Source organism: Homo sapiens, chromosome 18 (genome assembly GCF_000001405.40).
Source record: "Homo sapiens chromosome 18, GRCh38.p14 Primary Assembly".
NCBI classification, from domain to species: Eukaryota; Metazoa; Chordata; class Mammalia; order Primates; family Hominidae; genus Homo; species Homo sapiens.
The window spans coordinates 9,037,096-9,055,013 of NC_000018.10; the positions used below are offsets into that span (position 1 = coordinate 9,037,096).

At 42.4% G+C, this 17,918-nt stretch overlaps 1 annotated feature.

Moving 5' to 3' along the window:
• Positions 1-148: a silencer, noted in NCBI's record as "fragment chr18:9037094-9037241 (GRCh37/hg19 assembly coordinates)". NCBI's record gives its function as "represses an EF-1alpha promoter that drives an FKBP-Casp9 reporter gene in an ReSE screen in HepG2 liver carcinoma cells {active_cell/tissue: HepG2}" and the evidence as "EXISTENCE:reporter gene assay evidence [ECO:0000049][PMID:32094911]".

The following is a 17,918-nucleotide window of genomic DNA, read 5'->3' on the forward strand; positions in this document are numbered from 1 at the left end:
AAGGCGGGCAGATCACTTGAGGTCAGGAGTTTGAGACCAACCTGGCCAAAATGGTGAAACCCTGTCTCTACTAAAAATACAAAAATTAGCCAGGCGTGGTGGTGCGCACCTGTAGTCCCAGCTACTTGGGAGGCTGAGGCAGGAGAATCGCTTAAACCCAGGAGGCGGAGGTTGCAGTGAGCCAAGATCACGACACTGCCCTCCAGCCTGGGCAGCAGAGCGAGACTCCCTCTCACAAAACAAGAACAATAAAAAGAAGCTTGAAAATACCAAGTATTGAAGAGGCTTTAAGGCAATCAAAACTTTTATACATTGCTGGGGAGTATGCAAAGCAGTATAACCACTCAGGAAAATAGCTTGGCAATTTCTTATAAAGTCAAACATACACTTACCATGTAACCTAGCTATTGCAGTATTGTTTTGTTTTGTTTTTTTGAGATGGAGTTTCACTCTTATTACCCAGGCTGGAGAGCAGTGGCGCAATCTCAGCTCACTGCAACCTCCGCCTCCCTGGTTCAAGCAATTCTCCTGCCTCAGCCTACCAAGTAGCTGGCACTACAGGCGCCCACCACCATGCCTGGGTAATTTTTTGTATTTTTAGTAGAGACGGGGTTTCATCTTGTTGGACAGACTGGTCTTGAACTCCTGACCTCAGGTGATCACCCGCCTCAGCCTCCTAAAGTGCTGAGATTACAGGCGTGAGCCACCACGCCCAGCCCTATTGCAGTTTTAAGTATTTTCTTTAAGAGAAATAAAAATTGATGTCCAAGAATCTGTATACTAATGATCATAGCGTTAGCCATAATAGTCCCAAACAGAAAACAACTCAAATGTTTATCAGTAGATGAATAGATAAACAAGTTGTATATATCCCTGCAATAAACACATCAGCAATGAAAAGGACCAAATTACTGATACACAGATGAATCTCAAAAATATTACAATGAGCAAAAGAAGCCACAAAATAGTACATACTGTGTGATTCTATTAATATGAAATGAGAAAAGACAAATCTAACCTTTAGTGACAGAAAGAAGACTGGGCAGAAGGGAACTTTTGTGAAGTGACAGAAATGCTCATCTTAGTCACAGTAGTAATTACATAGCTGTATACTGTCAACAGACAAAATTATAACAAATTTGGTTATAAAGCTGTTTAGCTTTGTTCAAAACTTGTGAATTGGGACAGCCTCCGTTCTACAAAATAGGATGAGAGCTCCCACCGAGCTAAGGAAGAACACTGGGGTTTGTAAGATGAAAACAAGGAAACAGAACAATAGCACTGATTAATATCACATTACTTTTTTTCTAAAGGTTAAAGCAGAGAGACTGCCTTATTATGCTGACTCAGGTAGACTGGAATCTCCTGTTCTCAGGAAAAACTGGTCTGTTTGGGGATCTATCTGCTTGCTTCCTTGAAGTTTCAGTTTGATTATGTGGCATTTAGCATAAGTGACTCTATTTTGGTTTGGTCTGGTCTGTTGGGGCCTAGCACAGGAGTTCAGACTAAAATAGTGGCCTCCCATGATTTTAACAGTACGATTGTCAAAACTCATCAGATAGTACATTTATAATGGGTGCATTCCACTGTATGTAAACTTAAAGAAATTCTCCACCAGGAGCAGTGGCTCATGCCTGTAATCCCAGCACTTTCAGAGGCCAAGGCGGGTGAATGTTTGAGCCCAGGAGTTTGAGACCAGCCTGGGCAACATGACGAAACCCTGTCCTATAAAAATGCAAAAATTAGCCGGGCCTAGTGGCCTGCGCCTGTAATCCCAGGTACTCAGGAGGCTGAGGTGGAAGGATCACTTGAGCCCAGAAGGCGGAGGTTGCAATGAGCCAAGATCATGCCACTGCACTCCAGCTTGGGCAACAGAGCAAGCCCCTGTCTTTAAAAAAAAAAAAGAAAAGAAAAGAAAAGAAAAAGAAAAAAAGTCCTTTCTTCCCTATACTTTTCCATCTCTCCAAATCAGCTTCATTTGGTTTGGTTTCTTTTTTTATTCCTCCTTTCATCTGTTCAGAACCGGTCCTCTCTGAGGAATATTGTATTTGTTTCTTTCAAATGTAAATTGTTTTGGCATTTTCAGCTCCATCCAACTCTCTCAACTTCATCCTTTCAGGGATATGCATAATACAACTCCAGTCTGTACAAAGCACCCTTCCTCCTTGGAAGGTGGAGGCTGAGAACTGCAGATACTTATAAATTGCCCCCCCGCCCCGCCACACACACACACACACACACACACACAAATACATTGCTATGCCAATGGCAGTGCCAAAGCCAGGACTATAATCCAGATTACCCAATTTTCTGATAGAATGAATGTGTTTCTTATGCCAGCTGCAGCTTAACATGCAAAATTCCTTTTTTGTCTTCCAGTTCAATATACACTATTTGAAGAGATGTTAGGTAAATCCCGTATTTTCTTCAGAGACAGAAGCTGAGGAGGCTGGGTTGGGAGTGAGGGTTTAATTTGCAACCACGTTAGATGTCATGGCCCCCAGGCTCACTGCTTTGCAGAAGAACTTAGGTAATTATCATAAGGAACAAGTGCACACAAATCAAAGGTCAACTGAGCTGAAGTTATTTGATTTAGGATTTTGGTGATGTTCTTTGTCCTTGTTAATGCTGCTGCCACTTTTTGTTTGTTTTTGTTAAAAAATAGCAACCAAGTGCCCACATTTAAGGTATTTTCATCACAAGTTTACTGAAGAGCAACTCAATATTGTCTTTCTAAGAATTCAAGCTACATTCATTCCTCTCCTAGCCTGTCCCCATGGCAACAGTACCCAGGTGCCATTTTAGCAGGTTTTACTTAGTAACTTTCAGCATCAGTACGATTTTTTGCATTGTTCTTCTTGTATATACTAAATTAGAAAGGTTAACAACAAAATGATGGACAATAGAAAACACTTCCAAACTCATTTTATGAAGCCAGCATTATCTTGATGCCAAAATGAGACAGACACCACAGTAAAAGAAAAAACTGGCCAGGCGTGGTAGCTCACGCCTGTAATCCCAGCACTTTGGGAGGCTGAGGTGGGTGGATCACGAGGTCAAGAGATCGAGATCATCCTGGCCAACATGGTGAAACCCCATCTCTACTAAAAATACAAAAATTAGCTGGGCGTGGTGTTGGGTGCCTGTAGTCCCAGCTACTTGGGAGGCTGCGGCAGAATCACTTGAACCCGGGAGGCAGAGGTTGCAGTGAGCCAAGATCGCGCCACTGCACTCCAGCCTGGCGACAGAGCGAGACTCTGTCTCAAAAAAAGAAAAAAAAACTATTAAAATGGCAGCTCTCATATTAGGTGTTCTTACCACAGTAAAATAAACATAATTTTTTTTAAACGACAGAGACAGAAAACAGAGTAGGATACACTTCGAAGTACTTGGAAACAACATTTGTGTACATCCAAATGTTCTAGACTTTTTATTCCAAATTCAATAGGAAAAGTCTCAATAGTGAATGCTGAGTAGTGAAACACTCAGAAAAAAATATATAACTTATTCTATGTAGGAGCTAAATCAGATAGGACAGCTATTAATTGTATTAATAAAATCGAATAATGCATGTTCCTAAATTTTTTTTAATGGTTATTTTTTTCTCTTAATCAAGTAGAATTGTAGACTCCTCAAGTTTGTATATTTAAAAGCTTTTTCACTATCTGGGGGTTTTGTTTTCAGATATTCTGTTTAAGAATTATTCTTCCGGGCACAGAGGCTAACGCCTGTAATCCCAGCACTTTGGAAGGCCGAGGCGGGTGGAACACTTGAGGTCAAGAGTTCAAGACCAGCCTAGCCAACATGGTGAAACCCCCTCTCTAACAAAAATACAAAAATTAGCTGGGCAAGGTGGCAAGTGTCTGTAATCCCAGCTGCTCGGGGGGCTGAGGCAGGAGAATCGCCTAAACCCGGGAGGTGGAGTTTGCAGTGAGCCAAGATCGCGCCACTGCACTCCAGCCTGGGCAACAGAGCAAGACTCCGTCTGAAAAAAACAACAAAAAAAGTATTATTCTAAATATTGAGACTAATTAACAGGTACTAACAATCTCCCCCTCAGTGCTTCTCTCAGGTATGACGTGAAAGAAGAAAACAACTTAGGCCTAATTGTCTCTTAAAGTAGGGCTGGAGAACTTTTTTTAAAATCAACAATTATTAATCCACAGGAAGAGAAAGAGAAAAAGTTACAAGCCACCTGGTTTTGTTTTTCTGCTTCTTTTTAAAAAGAAGTTTTATTTTTAAAAGAAAAAGTTTAAAATCTTCTACTTGCCTGCCTTTTATATTAATAGCAAGAAATATACATAGTAAATGATTATATAAATTAAAATATGTTTTGTTTTTATATTAAGACCAGTTATAGAGGGGCTGGGTGCGGTGGCTCACGTCTGTAATCCCAGCACTTTGGGAGGCCAAGGTGGGTGGATCACCCGAGGTCAGGTGTTCGAGACCAACCTGGCCAACATGGTGAAACGCTGTCTCTGGTAAAAATACAGAAATTAGCCAGGCGTGGTGGCACACGCCTGTAATCCCAGCTACTTGGGAGGCTGAGGCAGAAGAATCACTTGAACCCGGGAGGCAGAGGTTGGCAGTGAGCCGAGATTGCGCCACTGCACTCCAGCCTGGGCGACAGAGCAAGACTCCGTCTCAAAAACAAAAAAACAAACAAACAAACAACAAAGACCAGTTATAGAGAAACATCACAGGGAAGAAAAGTAACACAAACAGAGAAAGGGGCAAGGATTCAAATACATCTATCGGGAAAGGGCAGACAACACGCATACAGAAAATCATGCCTGGCAAATAGCACAGCTTAGACTGTCTTGGAACAACAGCTGTTTTTACCTCCCTATCCGGATATTTCACCTGAGACTTTTTTTTTTTTTTTGAGACAAGATCTCACTGTCACCCAGGCTGGAGTGCAGTAGTATGATTATGGCCCACTGCCGCTTCAACCTCCCAGGTGCAAGCAATCCTCCCACCTCAGCCTTCTGAGTAGCTGGGACCACAGGCAATGCACCACCTTGCCCAGCAAATTTTTGTATGTTTCATAGACACGGGGTTTTGTCCCCTTGCCCAGGCTGGTCTCAAACTCCGGGACTCAAGTGATCCACCTGCCTCGGACTCCCAAAGTGCTTGAATTGCAGGTGTGAGCCACTGTGCTCAACCTCACCTGAGACTTTAAAAATCTTTGTTGCATTGGTGCAGACCTCAGCACAAATATCAATATCACCAGGACCAAAAGGAACTTCAGCATGAAGATGGTTCTACTCACTAGAGCTCTGAAATTTCAAGTCTATGAAGCTACTCACTCCATTCACCTGGGGATTTAATTTATCTTTAATCCTCACCTTTTGATATTTGGTAAATCAGGAAATCCAAAGGCTGCCACAACCTCAGATCAAGTCCCAGGCAAAACTGGGAGAGGAAGCAAAAAAGTTTCAGGTCCTTTCCTCCTCCTTTTGGACACCTATCCCAGGAGCAATATGAGCGTCCCAGTGTCCTAAGGGACAGCATCCCTTGGGGTAAGAGCAGGAACTCTAGCCACCATCACAGAGACTTCATGGAGGTGAAGACAAGTGCCACAACTTATTAGTGACTTTTGGAAACAGCTTCTGCTGTAAAATCCAGACAATAATCGTAGTACTGGACTTACTGGTAAGATTTTGTTGCATTAGAAGAAAAAACTATTTAAAATGCATAGCACGGTGCTTAGCATTAATAAGCACTCATTAGGTACTAGCTGTTGTCCTCACTAAGCCTACCTTCCCTTGCCCTGGTCTGTGTTGTCTAGACAATCGAACATGGCTTATAGGGAGACACAGTTTCAGCTCCACAAAAAGTCCCCAGCCTCTCAAAAGGAAGCACATGTTTGTGAAAAGTGTCACATGGAAATAATATGGATGGGGTGATTCCTAAGGTTGCCTGCCACTAAACACCCCCAAGATTCTGTGAAATCTGAGATCCTTAGTAAGAGACCTGGGGAGGCGGCCATTCTGCCCCCTCATGGAATCACAACTGCCTCCCACCCTCTCTTCTTCCTTCCTCTAGCACAGGGGTCCCTAACCCCAGGCCACGAACTAGTAGTGGTCCGTGGCCTGTTAGGAACTGGGCTGCACAGCAGGAGATGAGCAGAGGGCAAAACGAGTGAGTGAGGCTTCATCTGTATTTCCAGCCACTCCCCATTGCTTGCATTACCACCTGAGCCCAGCCTCCAGTCATAAGATCAGTGGCAGCATTAGATTCTCATAGAAGCACAAACCCTATTGTGAACTGTGCATTTGAGGGATCTAGGTTGCATGCTCCTTATGAGAATCTAATGCTTGATGATCTGTCACTGCCTCCCATCACCCCCAGATGGGACTGCCTAATTGCAGGAAAACAAGCTCAGGACTCCCACTGATTCTACATTATGGTGAGTTGTATAATTATTTCATTATGTACTACAATGTAATAATAATACAAATAAAATGCACAATAAATGTAATGCACTTGAATCATTCTGAAACCATCCCCCAACCCCCATCCATGGAAAAAATTGTCTTCCATAAAACCAGTCCCTGGTGCCAAAAAGGTTGGGGACCACTGCTCTAGCACACAGCTGGAGGAATCCTATTAAAGTTCCTCTTTAATGAAGGACTTAAAACAAAAGTTATGCTTTGCTCTGGAATGGGAAGACTCACTCCTGTGTAGCAAGGTGCTGACACAGCCAATTTTACAAATGATGCTAGTTGTATCTCATTTATTTATCTATTTATTTATTTTTATTTTTTTATTATTATTATTTTTTTTTTGAGATGGAGTCTCACTCTGTTGCCAGGCTGGAGGGCAATCTTGGCTCACTGCAACCTCTGCCTCCCAGGTTCAAGCGATTCTCCTGCCTCAGCCTCCCGAATAGCTGGGACTACAGGCGCGCACCCCCATGCCCACCTAATTTTTGTATTTTTAGTACAGACGGGGTTTCACCATGTTGGCCAGGACGGTCTCGATCCCTTGACCTCGTGATCCACCTGCCTTCGCCTCCTGAAGTACTGGGATTACGGGCGTAAGCCACCACACCCAGCCTGTATCTCCTCTTAGAGGTGAAGGCTGTAAGTCACTCTAGAGAAAATGTTTACTATTATAGACAAAATCACTTTGGTGACTTCTATACCTTTTCATTAGACCAACTTATCTAACAAGTTGGACACTGGGGTGGCAGTGGATACATTTGCATAGAGACTATGGAGTCTCCTGGGAGGAAAGGTTCTGGGCCTTTCTCTTTTGAGTTCAATGTTAGAACAGCTCTAATAGGTTGAAGGCATTCCAAATGATGAATGTCAGCAAGAAAGAACATAAAGGACTCTTTCTTGAAGGTCCTGAGGGAGGTGACTTAGGCTTGGGTGCTGTATTTGCAGAATGACCGTAGCACATGAGTGTGAATTAAAAGAACAGTATCCTTGTGGCTCTGGCAAAGAGCTCTCTTAATCAAATTGGACCAGTAGAAATGTCACTGCAGGGGAAAATAAGAATACATCAAACTCATATGATATGCAAGGGACCCCAACTAGCCAAAACAACCTTGAAGAAGAACAAAGTTGGAAGACACACTTCCTGATTTCAAAACTTACTACAAAGCAATGATAACCAAGATGGTGTGGTACTGGCACAAAGATAGACATATAGACCAATGAAATAGAATAGAGAGTTCAGAAGTAAACCCATACATCAGTGGTCAATTGAATTTTAACAAAGGTGCCAAGATTATTCAGTGGGGGAAAGAATTGTATGTCAACAAATAATCTTGGGAATAACTGGATATCTATATGCAAAAGAATGAAGTTGGACCCTTACCTCATGTCATATAGAAAAATTAATTCAAAATGGACTCAAGACCTAAATTTAAGACCTAAAACTGTAAAATTCTTAGAAGAAAACATAGGGAAAATTTTCATGACATTGGATTTGACAATACTTTCCTGCCAAAAACATAGACAAGAGCAACAACAACAACAAAAATAGATATATTAAACTACATCAAAATTTAAAACTTCTGTGCATCCAAGGACACAACAGACTGAAGAGACAACGCATGGAAAGAGAGAAAACACTGGTAAATTATCTATCTTATGAGGAGTTAGTATCCAGAATATATCAGAACTCCTACAACTCAACTGCAAAACAAAACAAAACAAAAATCCTGATTTAAAAATGTGCAAAGCCCATGAAAAGATGTTCAACATCATTTGCCATAAGAGAAATGCAAATCAAAACCATGAGATGCCACTTCACACCAACTAGGATGGCTAGAATTTAAAAACGGAAAATGACAAATGTTGGCCAGGCATGGTGTCTCACGCCTGTAATCCCAACACTTTGGGAGGCCGAGGCAGGCGGATCACAAGGTCAGGAGATCGAGACCATCCTGGCTAACACAGAGAAACCCTGTCTCTACTAAAAATACAAAAAAGTTAGCTAGGCGTGGTGGCAGGTGCCTGTAGTCGCAGCTACTTGGGAGGCTGAGGCAGGAGAATGGCGTGAACCCAGGAGGCGGAGCTTGCAGTGAGCCAAGATCGCGCTACTGCACTCCAGCCTGGGCAACAGAGTGAGACTCCGTCTCAAAAAAAAAAAAAAAAGAAAGAAAAAGGAAATAACAAATGTTGGCAAGGATATAGAGAAATTAGAACCCTCACATGTTGCTGGTGAAAATGTAAAATGGTGCAGCCATTGTGGAAGACAGTTTGGCAGTTCCTCAAAAAATTAAAGAGCCAGGCGTGGTGGCTCCCACCTGTAATCCTAGAACTCTAGGAGGCTGAGCCCGGTGGATCCCTTGACCCCAGGATTTTGAGACCAGCCTGGGCAACATGGTAAGACCCCATCTCTACAAAAAATACAAAAATTAGCTGGGCGTGGTGGCACACACCTTTAGTACCAGCTACTTAGGAGGCTGAGGTGAGAGGATCACTTGAGCCTAGGGGGTGGAGGCTTCAGTGAACTGAGATCCTCCCACTGCCCTCCAGTATGGGCAACAGAGTAGGGCTCTGTCTCAAAAAGAAAAAAAAAAATTAAAGATAGAGTTAGCATATGATCCAGCAAGTCCACTCCTAGATAGATACCCAAGACAAATGAAAACATACGTCTACACAAGCACTGGTACATAAATGTTTTTAAAAACACTATTCAGCCAAAAGATTGAAACCCAAATGTCCAACGACAGACAAATGAATAAACAAAATGTAGTATAGCCATAACTGTCTGCCATAAAAAAGGATGAAATGTTGATACACTATGACATGGACCAACCTTGAAAACATTATGCTAAGTGAAGAAAGCCAGACACAAAATAGCACATATTGTATAATTCCATTTATATAAATGTCCAGATTCAGCAAATCTATAGGGACGGAAAGTAGATTCGTGGTTACTTCTGGCTGGGGCTGGATGGGCCATCAGGAGGGTGAGAGCTAAAAGGTTTAGGGTAAAGCACCATCCTGAGATTGTATGCCCCATGCCTGGAACTCTGGGTGCTAAATAAATGTCTGCTGACTTGTATTCACTTTAAATTCTAGTTCAAAGAAATGAGCATCTCACATACCTATAGTTAGAGAGAAACATCAATCTGAACCCTAAATACATCCACCCTCTTCAAAGATCTGTTGCTTAAAATGTCAAACCTCTGTAGGTTGCTTCCTCACCAGAGAAAATGAAAACAAATGCAGCTCTGATCATAAACTAGGTAGATATTGTGTTACATAAACGTTTTCACATCACCCTAGCGAAGATGCTGTATCTGCTATATTTGCATGTGTAAAATGGAAATTTAACACCAACCTAATAAAGTTAAATTGAGGATTAAACTAAATTTTTATATAAAAGTACTTAGCAAAGTACCTGAAACAGAGTAAGTCCTCAGTGAATGGTAATTACTGCATTACTACTATTGTCCGCTACTAGAAAAGTTAAAGGCACCTTCACTATGGATCTGCCTATCCAAACAAGACCCAGATAGCAAATTGCATTGATGTAGCATCATTTCAATTTCTCCCACTTTCTGACTTGAGATAATTTATTCAAGCAAAATAGTTAGCTAAAAAAATTTATTGAAAAAGTATTAATAATGAGGGGAGAAATAAGATATGTAACACTGTAATAAACAAATTGATGTCTTTTCATTGAAGTCCCAATAGAAATCCAATTTCACAATTGTGCCAGCAGTTAAGCAGCTTTTCAATATTTGTGACAAAGTAATGTTCACCTAATTATTTGGCCACAGCTACATAAAGCCCTCTTTTAAAAATTCTATGCAAATTGCAAGTATTGAAGTATTGGTTTTACATATGTAGAAAGGATACAAGAAAGGGCTTTAAGGCTACCAGCCCTGAATATTTTACTTCAAAAGCTTATTTCAAAACACTATGTTAAGGCCGGGCATAGTGGCTCACACCTGTAATCCTAGCACTGTGGGAGACCGAGGCAGGCAGAACACTTGAAGTCAGGAGTTCGAGACCAGCCTGGCCAACATGGTTGGCCATCTCTACTAAAAATACAAAAAAAGGTAGCCAGACTCGGTGGCACGTGCCTGTAATCCCAGCTACTCAGGAGGCCAAGGCAGGATAATCACTTGAATCTGAGAGGCGGAGGTTTCAGTGAGCCGAGATTGCGCCACTGCATTCCAGCCTGGGCAACAAAGCGAGATTCTGTCTCAAAAAACAAAACAAAACACTATGTTAAAAATGAAATGCATGAGATTCAGAGGAGTGTGTTGTTATTTGGAGTCTGCTGTGAAGGGCTACCCCTGCTGGCATAGCTACATGATCGCTAGATGGCTCTCAAGGGAAGATCAGCCACCCGCTGTGAAGGAGAGCAGCCGCATGGTTATTTTGCCCTCGTTGGCATCTCCCTCATTAAAGTTGCATCCAAAATGCTTCTAAAACATTGATTTCAATTTCATGAAACTTCAGTATGACTTCCTCTCTGTTCCTCTCTATCCACAACCAACTCTTTACTCAACAAAGTTGAAAATTTAGCTCAGTTCTCCTCCCCATTCTGCCATGTAGAAGATAGTGATTTATCAGGCAATGAGCCAATGACTAATAATGCCAGGCCTTTTGTGTCTTAAAATATAATCCTGGGCAGAGATTCCTTCAAGTTTGTAATCTGAAGGTATTGTTCCCCAGTTATTGAAACTAAGGCCAGTATTTGGAGAATGGAAGCAGTAAAGAACGATGGGTAGGAGCTTAGACACTGCAGTTATGCACCTGATGCTAAAGGTCCAGTTTCCTCTGATCTCTCATCTCACCACTCCTACAACCTCGCAACCCCTCCCACCCTCCTCTGCTGAAGCCACATCCTGAGGCTGAGATTTTTACGTTGGAGGTTGTTGGAGAACACCATTTGTAAGAAGGAAGAGGAAGCAGGATTGGGCAGACAGAGAAGTCCAGTTACAATTTATTTGCGATAGAGGCCTCAGTTGACCCCACAGGAAATTATGGAGCTCTTCTGACTCTTCAGGGTTAGTCTCCCTTTGATTCTCCTTGCAAGAAATTTGAATTGGCAAAATCGGTCAGTCACAGAGACTTGTAGCTCAAAGAGGTCACTAGGATTGTAGGACCTCAAAAGTCTGCAGGTTTCCCAACACCTTTTACCTGGTAGATGCACAAACCGTATGGTCTATCTGAGTGCACGGGGACACTGAAAAGAATTCAGCTCAAATTGGATCCAACAACAGTACACTGACTTGGTACAAAGTGCACCATCCACAAGTTCCTGTTAGGTTTCTTTTTCCAGTGAGAAGCCTGCCCAAACCCCATCAGGTGAATACTTATGCCCCTCCCCCTACAGAACTGGATATGATAATCACCTTGGTATCTGTATTCAACACGGCCGTAAAAGTTTGACTAACTACCCTCCACCCCATCACCTAAGTTCCCCAGTGCACTTAGAAAGGTGTATGTGACCCAGCACTTCCTCCTGCCTGGAGGAGAGTGAGCAACAACTAAAGCACCATTTGGAAGGTACTTGTTTCAATTCTTGCCATATAGCCTCTAAACCATTCATTAAGAGCTAAGAAGTGGGAGATCTTACTGCCTACCCACTACCACTTGGGCAAGAGCATTCACAATCAAATCCCAGGAATTATTCTCATGTCACCTATCCTAACCAGGGACCTTTTTCATTCCCCTTCCAGAAAGCCATGACTCTTTCTGAATCATATTTTCATCACCAGAACTGCAAGAAGTGGGAAGAGTCTGAGATTTTGCACTGATTGTACAAGTTAACAAGTTAGCCTGTTACTATTTCATGGGTGCCAGCAGAAGACACGAGACTCCTGAGTCAGAGAAAAAGGACTTTATTACTCATAGCATAACAGGAAGCTGGAGCTTCAGGTTTGTGTCAGTTCCCCTTGCCCACCAAGTCCCACAGGGGCAACTTGCATGGACCCAAATAGATGTTATGCCCACAGTGGGTTTACATCACATCTGAGGAACCCTAAACTGCAAGCAAAGCTATTTGACCTTTGCCCCAGGGTGAGGCATTATCTTTATTATACTGGACAGCAAACAACCCTGCCCTCTGTGCTATCTTCCAAGATCCTTGAAAAGATAATCCAGAAGAAAAGCCACCAATACTTATGCTCACAAGACATTCAGAAATGTGAGGGACCCATGGAGAATTGTCTTCCAGTAGTGACACATTCCACCTCTTGATGAGGAAATGGCAAGTTTCCAGAAGAGCATTTATGATAAGTGATATCGTTGGGCTGTGTCCCCACCCAAATCTCATCTTGAATTGTAGCTCCCATAATTCCCAAGTGTTTGGAAGGGACGTGGTGGGAGATAATTAAATCATGGGGGCAGTTTCCTTCATACTGTTCTCTTGGTGGTGAATAAGTCTCACGAGATCTGATGTTTATATAAAGGGTTTCCCCTTTTGCTTGGCTCTCATTTGCTTTCATTGGCAACCATGTAAGATGTGCCCTTTGCCTTCCACCATGATTGTGAGGCCTCCCAGCCATGTGGAACTCTTCTGAGTCCATTAAAATTCTTTTTCTTTATAAATTACCCATCTTGGGTATGTCTTTACCAGCAGCGTGAACATGGAGTAATACAGTAAATTAGTACCAGTAGAGTGGGGCGCTGCTATAAAGGTACCCAAAAATGTGGAAGCAATTTTGGAACTGGATAACAGACAGAAGTTGGAACAGTTTGAAGGGCTCAGAAGAAGACAAAAAAATGTGGGAAAGTTTGGAACTTCCTAGAGACTGGCTGAATGGCTTTGACCAAAATTCTGATAATGATATGGACAATGAAATCCAGGCTGAGGTGGTCTCAGATAGAGATGAGGAACTTGTTGGGAACTGGAGTAAAGCTGACTCTTGCTATGTTTTAGCAAAGAGACTGGCAGCATTTTGCCCCTGCTCTAGAGATTTGTGGAACTTTGAACTTGAGGGAGATGATTTATGGTATCTAGCAGAGGAAATTTCTAAGCAGCAAAGCATTCAAGAGGTGATGTGGGTGCTGCTAAAAGCATTCAGTTTTAAAAGGGAAACAGAGCATAAAAGTTTGAAAATTGCACCCTGATGATGCAAATTCCTATTTTCTGAGGAAAAATTCAAGCCAGCTGCAGAAATTTGCATAAGTAACAAGAAGCCAAATGTTAATCTCCAGGATAATGGGGAAAATATCTCCAGGGCATGTCAGAGACCTTTGAGGCAGTGCCCCCATCACAGACCCAGAGGCCTAGGAGGAAAAAATGTTTTCTGGGGCCAGGTTCAGGGCCTCCCTGCTGTGTGCAGCCTAGGGACTTTGTGCCCTGCATCCCAGCTGCTCTGACCTTGGCTAAAAGAGGCCAATGTACAGCTTGGGCCATGGCTTCAGAGGGTATAATCCCCAAGCCTTGGCAGCTTCCATGTGGTGTTGAGCCTGCAGGTGCGTAGAAGTCAAGAATGGAGGTTTGGGAACCTCTGCCTAGATTTCAGAGGATTTATGGAAATGCCTGGATGTCCAGGCAGAAGTTTGCTGCAGGGGTGGGGCTCTCAAGGAGAACCTCTGTTAGGGCAGTGCAGAAGGGAAAAGTGGGGTTGAAGCCCCCACACAGAGTCCCCACTGAAGCACTGCCTAATGGAGCTGTGAGGAGAGGGCCACCATCCTCCAGACCCCAGAATAATAGATCCACCAATAACTTGCACTATGTGCCTGGAAAAGCCACAGACACTCAACACCAGCCTGTGAAAGCAGCTGGGAGGGAGGCCGTACCCTGCATAACTGCAGAGATGGAGCTGCCTAAGACTATGGAAACCCACCTCTTGCATCAGTGTGACCTGGATGTGAGCCATGAATTCAAAGGAGATCATTTTAGAGCTTTAAGATTTGACTGCCCCACTGGATTTCAGACTTGCATGGGGCCTTTAGCACCTTCATTTTGGCCAATTTCTCCCATTCAGTATGGGTGTATTTATCGATGCCTGCACTCCCATTGTATCTAGGAAGTAACTAACTTGCTTTTGATTTTACAGGTTCATGGGCAGAAGGGACTTGCCTTGTCTCAGATGAGATTTTGGACTGTGGACTTTTGAATTAATGCTAAAATGAGTTAAGACTTTGGGGGAGGCCGGGCGCGGTGGCTCACGCCTGTAATCCTAGCACTTTGGGAGGCCGAGACGGGCGGATCACGAGGTCAGGAGATCGAGACCATCTTGGCTAACACGGTGAAACCCCGTTTCTACTAAAAATACAAAAAATTAGCCGGGCGTGTTGGCGGGCGCCTGTAGTCCCAGCTACTTGGGAGGCTGAGGCAGGAGAATGGCATGAACCTGGGAGGCGGAGCTTGCAGTGAGCCGAGATCGCGCCACTGCACTCCAACCTGGGAGACACAGCGAGACTCCGTCTCAAAAAAAAAAAAAAAAAAAAAAAGACTTTGGGGGACTGTTGGGAAGGCATGATTGGTTTTCAGATGTGAGGACATGAGATTTGGGAGGGGCCAGGGATGGAATGATATGGTATGGCTGTGTCCCCACCCAAATATCTTGAATTGTAGCTCCCATAATTCCCACATGTTGTGGGAGGGACCCAGTGGGAGAGAATTGAATCATGAGGGCAATTCCCCCCATACTGTTCTCGTGGTAGTGAGTAAGTCTCACAATATCTGATTTTTTTTTTGAGATGGAGTTTTGCTCTCGTTAAATATGAATATTTAGACCTGCTATATAATATGTAAACCAGGCTATATGAATATTTAGACCTACTATATAAATATTAAAACCTACTTAAGTGCCTAAGTGTCAAATTTAAATATGAATTGCAAATTTCACAACTCTGGTGTCTATTGGCTCTTAAAACCACCCAAGCTACCTATTGTGGGGAAAACTATTCTATAAGATGGGTGATGAGGTTTTAAAAGTGGTTTACTAACTTCTTAACCATAAAAACAATGGGAGGAAAGACTGAGAAAATAACTCAGTACATTTGACTAAGTAACATTTTTCAATTTTTTTAATGCTAAAAGGCAAATGGCAGGCTAGGATGATTTTACAGTGGAATAGGAAGTCCAGCAAACACTTTGGAAAGTGTAAGACAGGAGGTTGACAACAAGGGGAAGCACAGCAGTAGGGGCTGGGAGAAGGAGGGACTGGAAGACCAGGAAAATTGGGATTTTGGATGGCAGTGGCAGAATATGGTGAAACATGGTGGGCTTCATATCCACAAGTTAGTAATAAAAGGGGTAGAGCGATGACCTGTGACTATGCAAACTAGGGCCCCAGTGAATGTTTTGGGTCTAAATGACCTTGAAAGTCTACCACCTTCACTAGCTTTAGCTCAGGGTTGGGAATGGAATATGGAACAATGCCATATTATCTTATACCTGAGAAGCTCATTCCCTGGCTGTAAGGGAAGGAGAATTCATTCACTCTGAAAGCCTTCACCTTTTAATGGAACTAATAACTGCCATGGCAAAATGGAGAGCTGAGGCTTCTGAAGAATACTAAATGTCCCTACAATGTCTTAATGAACAAAGAGAAATATCCACGGTAACTCACAGCCACAGGATGGAAGATCTCCTAGTACTGGGATTCCCAACAGTTCTGACATAATTCTTTGCTGCCCTCACCATTTTTAGATACATTCTTGTTTGTCCACTCCCCCTTTTTCTCTGCTGAGTTAACATCTCAACAGTAAAGGTCCCTCATATTCTCCAAACATCAGGAGAAAAAAACATCCTTTCAATGTACTTTTCCTCTTCTTTTTCAGCAGGGAAACTGGTGCTATAGCTGCCCAACAGGTTCTTCTCACTTGCTGCCCAGATAAAACCAATGTATCAAGACAAGGGAATTGCAATAGAGAAAGGGTTCAAGATACATAGGGCCAGCTAAACAGGAGAGCAGAATTTTATTATTATTCAAATCAGCCTCTCCAAACATTCAGAGGCTAGGGTTTTTTCAAGATAGTTTGGTGGGCAGGGGGCTAGGGAATGGGTGCTGCTGATGGTTGGGGATGCAATCATAGGGATGTGGAAAATGGTCCTCATGCCCTGAGTCTGCTTCTGGGTGGGGGCCACAGGACCCATTGAGTCATAAGTCCAAATGGAGTCATCTTGGTCATCAGAAAAGCTAAAGTCTGAAAAGATATCTCCAAAGGCCAATATTAGGTTCTACAATAGTAGAGGTTATTTATAGGAGTAATTGGAGAAGTTACAAATCTTGTGACCACCAGAACAATGACTGGTTATTCTTTAACTATACCTACATCTTTGCAGAACTCAGATTCTTCTCATAACCCTAACCTTGTGGCCTTTCATTAGTTTTACTAAGGCAGTTTAATTTGGGGAGGGATATTATCATCCTTGCTTTAAGGATAGATTTCTCCCAAAGTTAGCTTGGCCCACACCCAGGAATGGAGGTTACAGGCAAGATGGAGTTGGTTAAGTCAGATCTCTTTCACTGCCATAGTATTCTCACTATTATAACTTTTGCAAAGGTGGTTTCAGAGATGTGCAATGGCATAATGGTTATGAACCCAGACTCCAGAGGCAGTCTGCTTGGATTTGAATCCTAGGATTTTCATCTAGCTGTGTGACCTCAGACAAGTGACTTAACGGCTCTGTGACTCCAAGTCTCCTGCTGTAAAATAGGGATGATAGCATCTTTTCTTGGTGATGCTGCGAGGAAAAGGAGTTAATATGTGTAAAGACATTTAGAAAGGCCCTGGCACACAGTAAATGTTAGTTACTGCTATAGAAGTTGCTGAATGAATGATTTCAACAATAGTCCATGTGGAACATGTAAACCAATTAAATATTTGTTCCTAAAGGAACAGAATATTTATAGACATATAGCCTATTTATTTTCTTCTATTGAGCAGCTGACAGTAATAGTGGATGTACATGTTTGTCTTCTTAATAGGAAAGAAGTAGGCTTAGGTTGACTGAGTGCCTACTGTTTGCTAGGCACAGTATAGATATCTTTTCACCTTATTCTCAAAACAAGCCTGAGAATTAGATATTTTATCCTCGTTTTTCTTAGGCAGAAACTTGCCCAAAGTTGCACATCTCGCTCCAAATCACAGTGCCTAGCAAGGTCTAGGCAGGAATTCAAGCCCATCTGACTACAACATACAATGTGTCAACACAGATGTCCACAACTTTGCTTTGTATGTAGCCACCTGAAAGAGAATGAATTAGAATAATTATTTTTGAGGGAGTTCAGTGCCATCAGGTGCCAAATTATTTATTTGCAATGCCAAATTGTATGGTTTTCTATTTAAACAGAGCTTTGGTCTAGGTGTAACTGTAATATTCTAGATAGAATATTACTTGTCTAGTGGCCTATCTCACAAGAAAATAAATAAATAAAATAAAAATATTGCTGGAATTTGAAGGATAAATCAATATAGATGCCTCAGAAAAGATGGGGTAGGGTGAGTGGAGTAATAATTTTGGGAAATGTA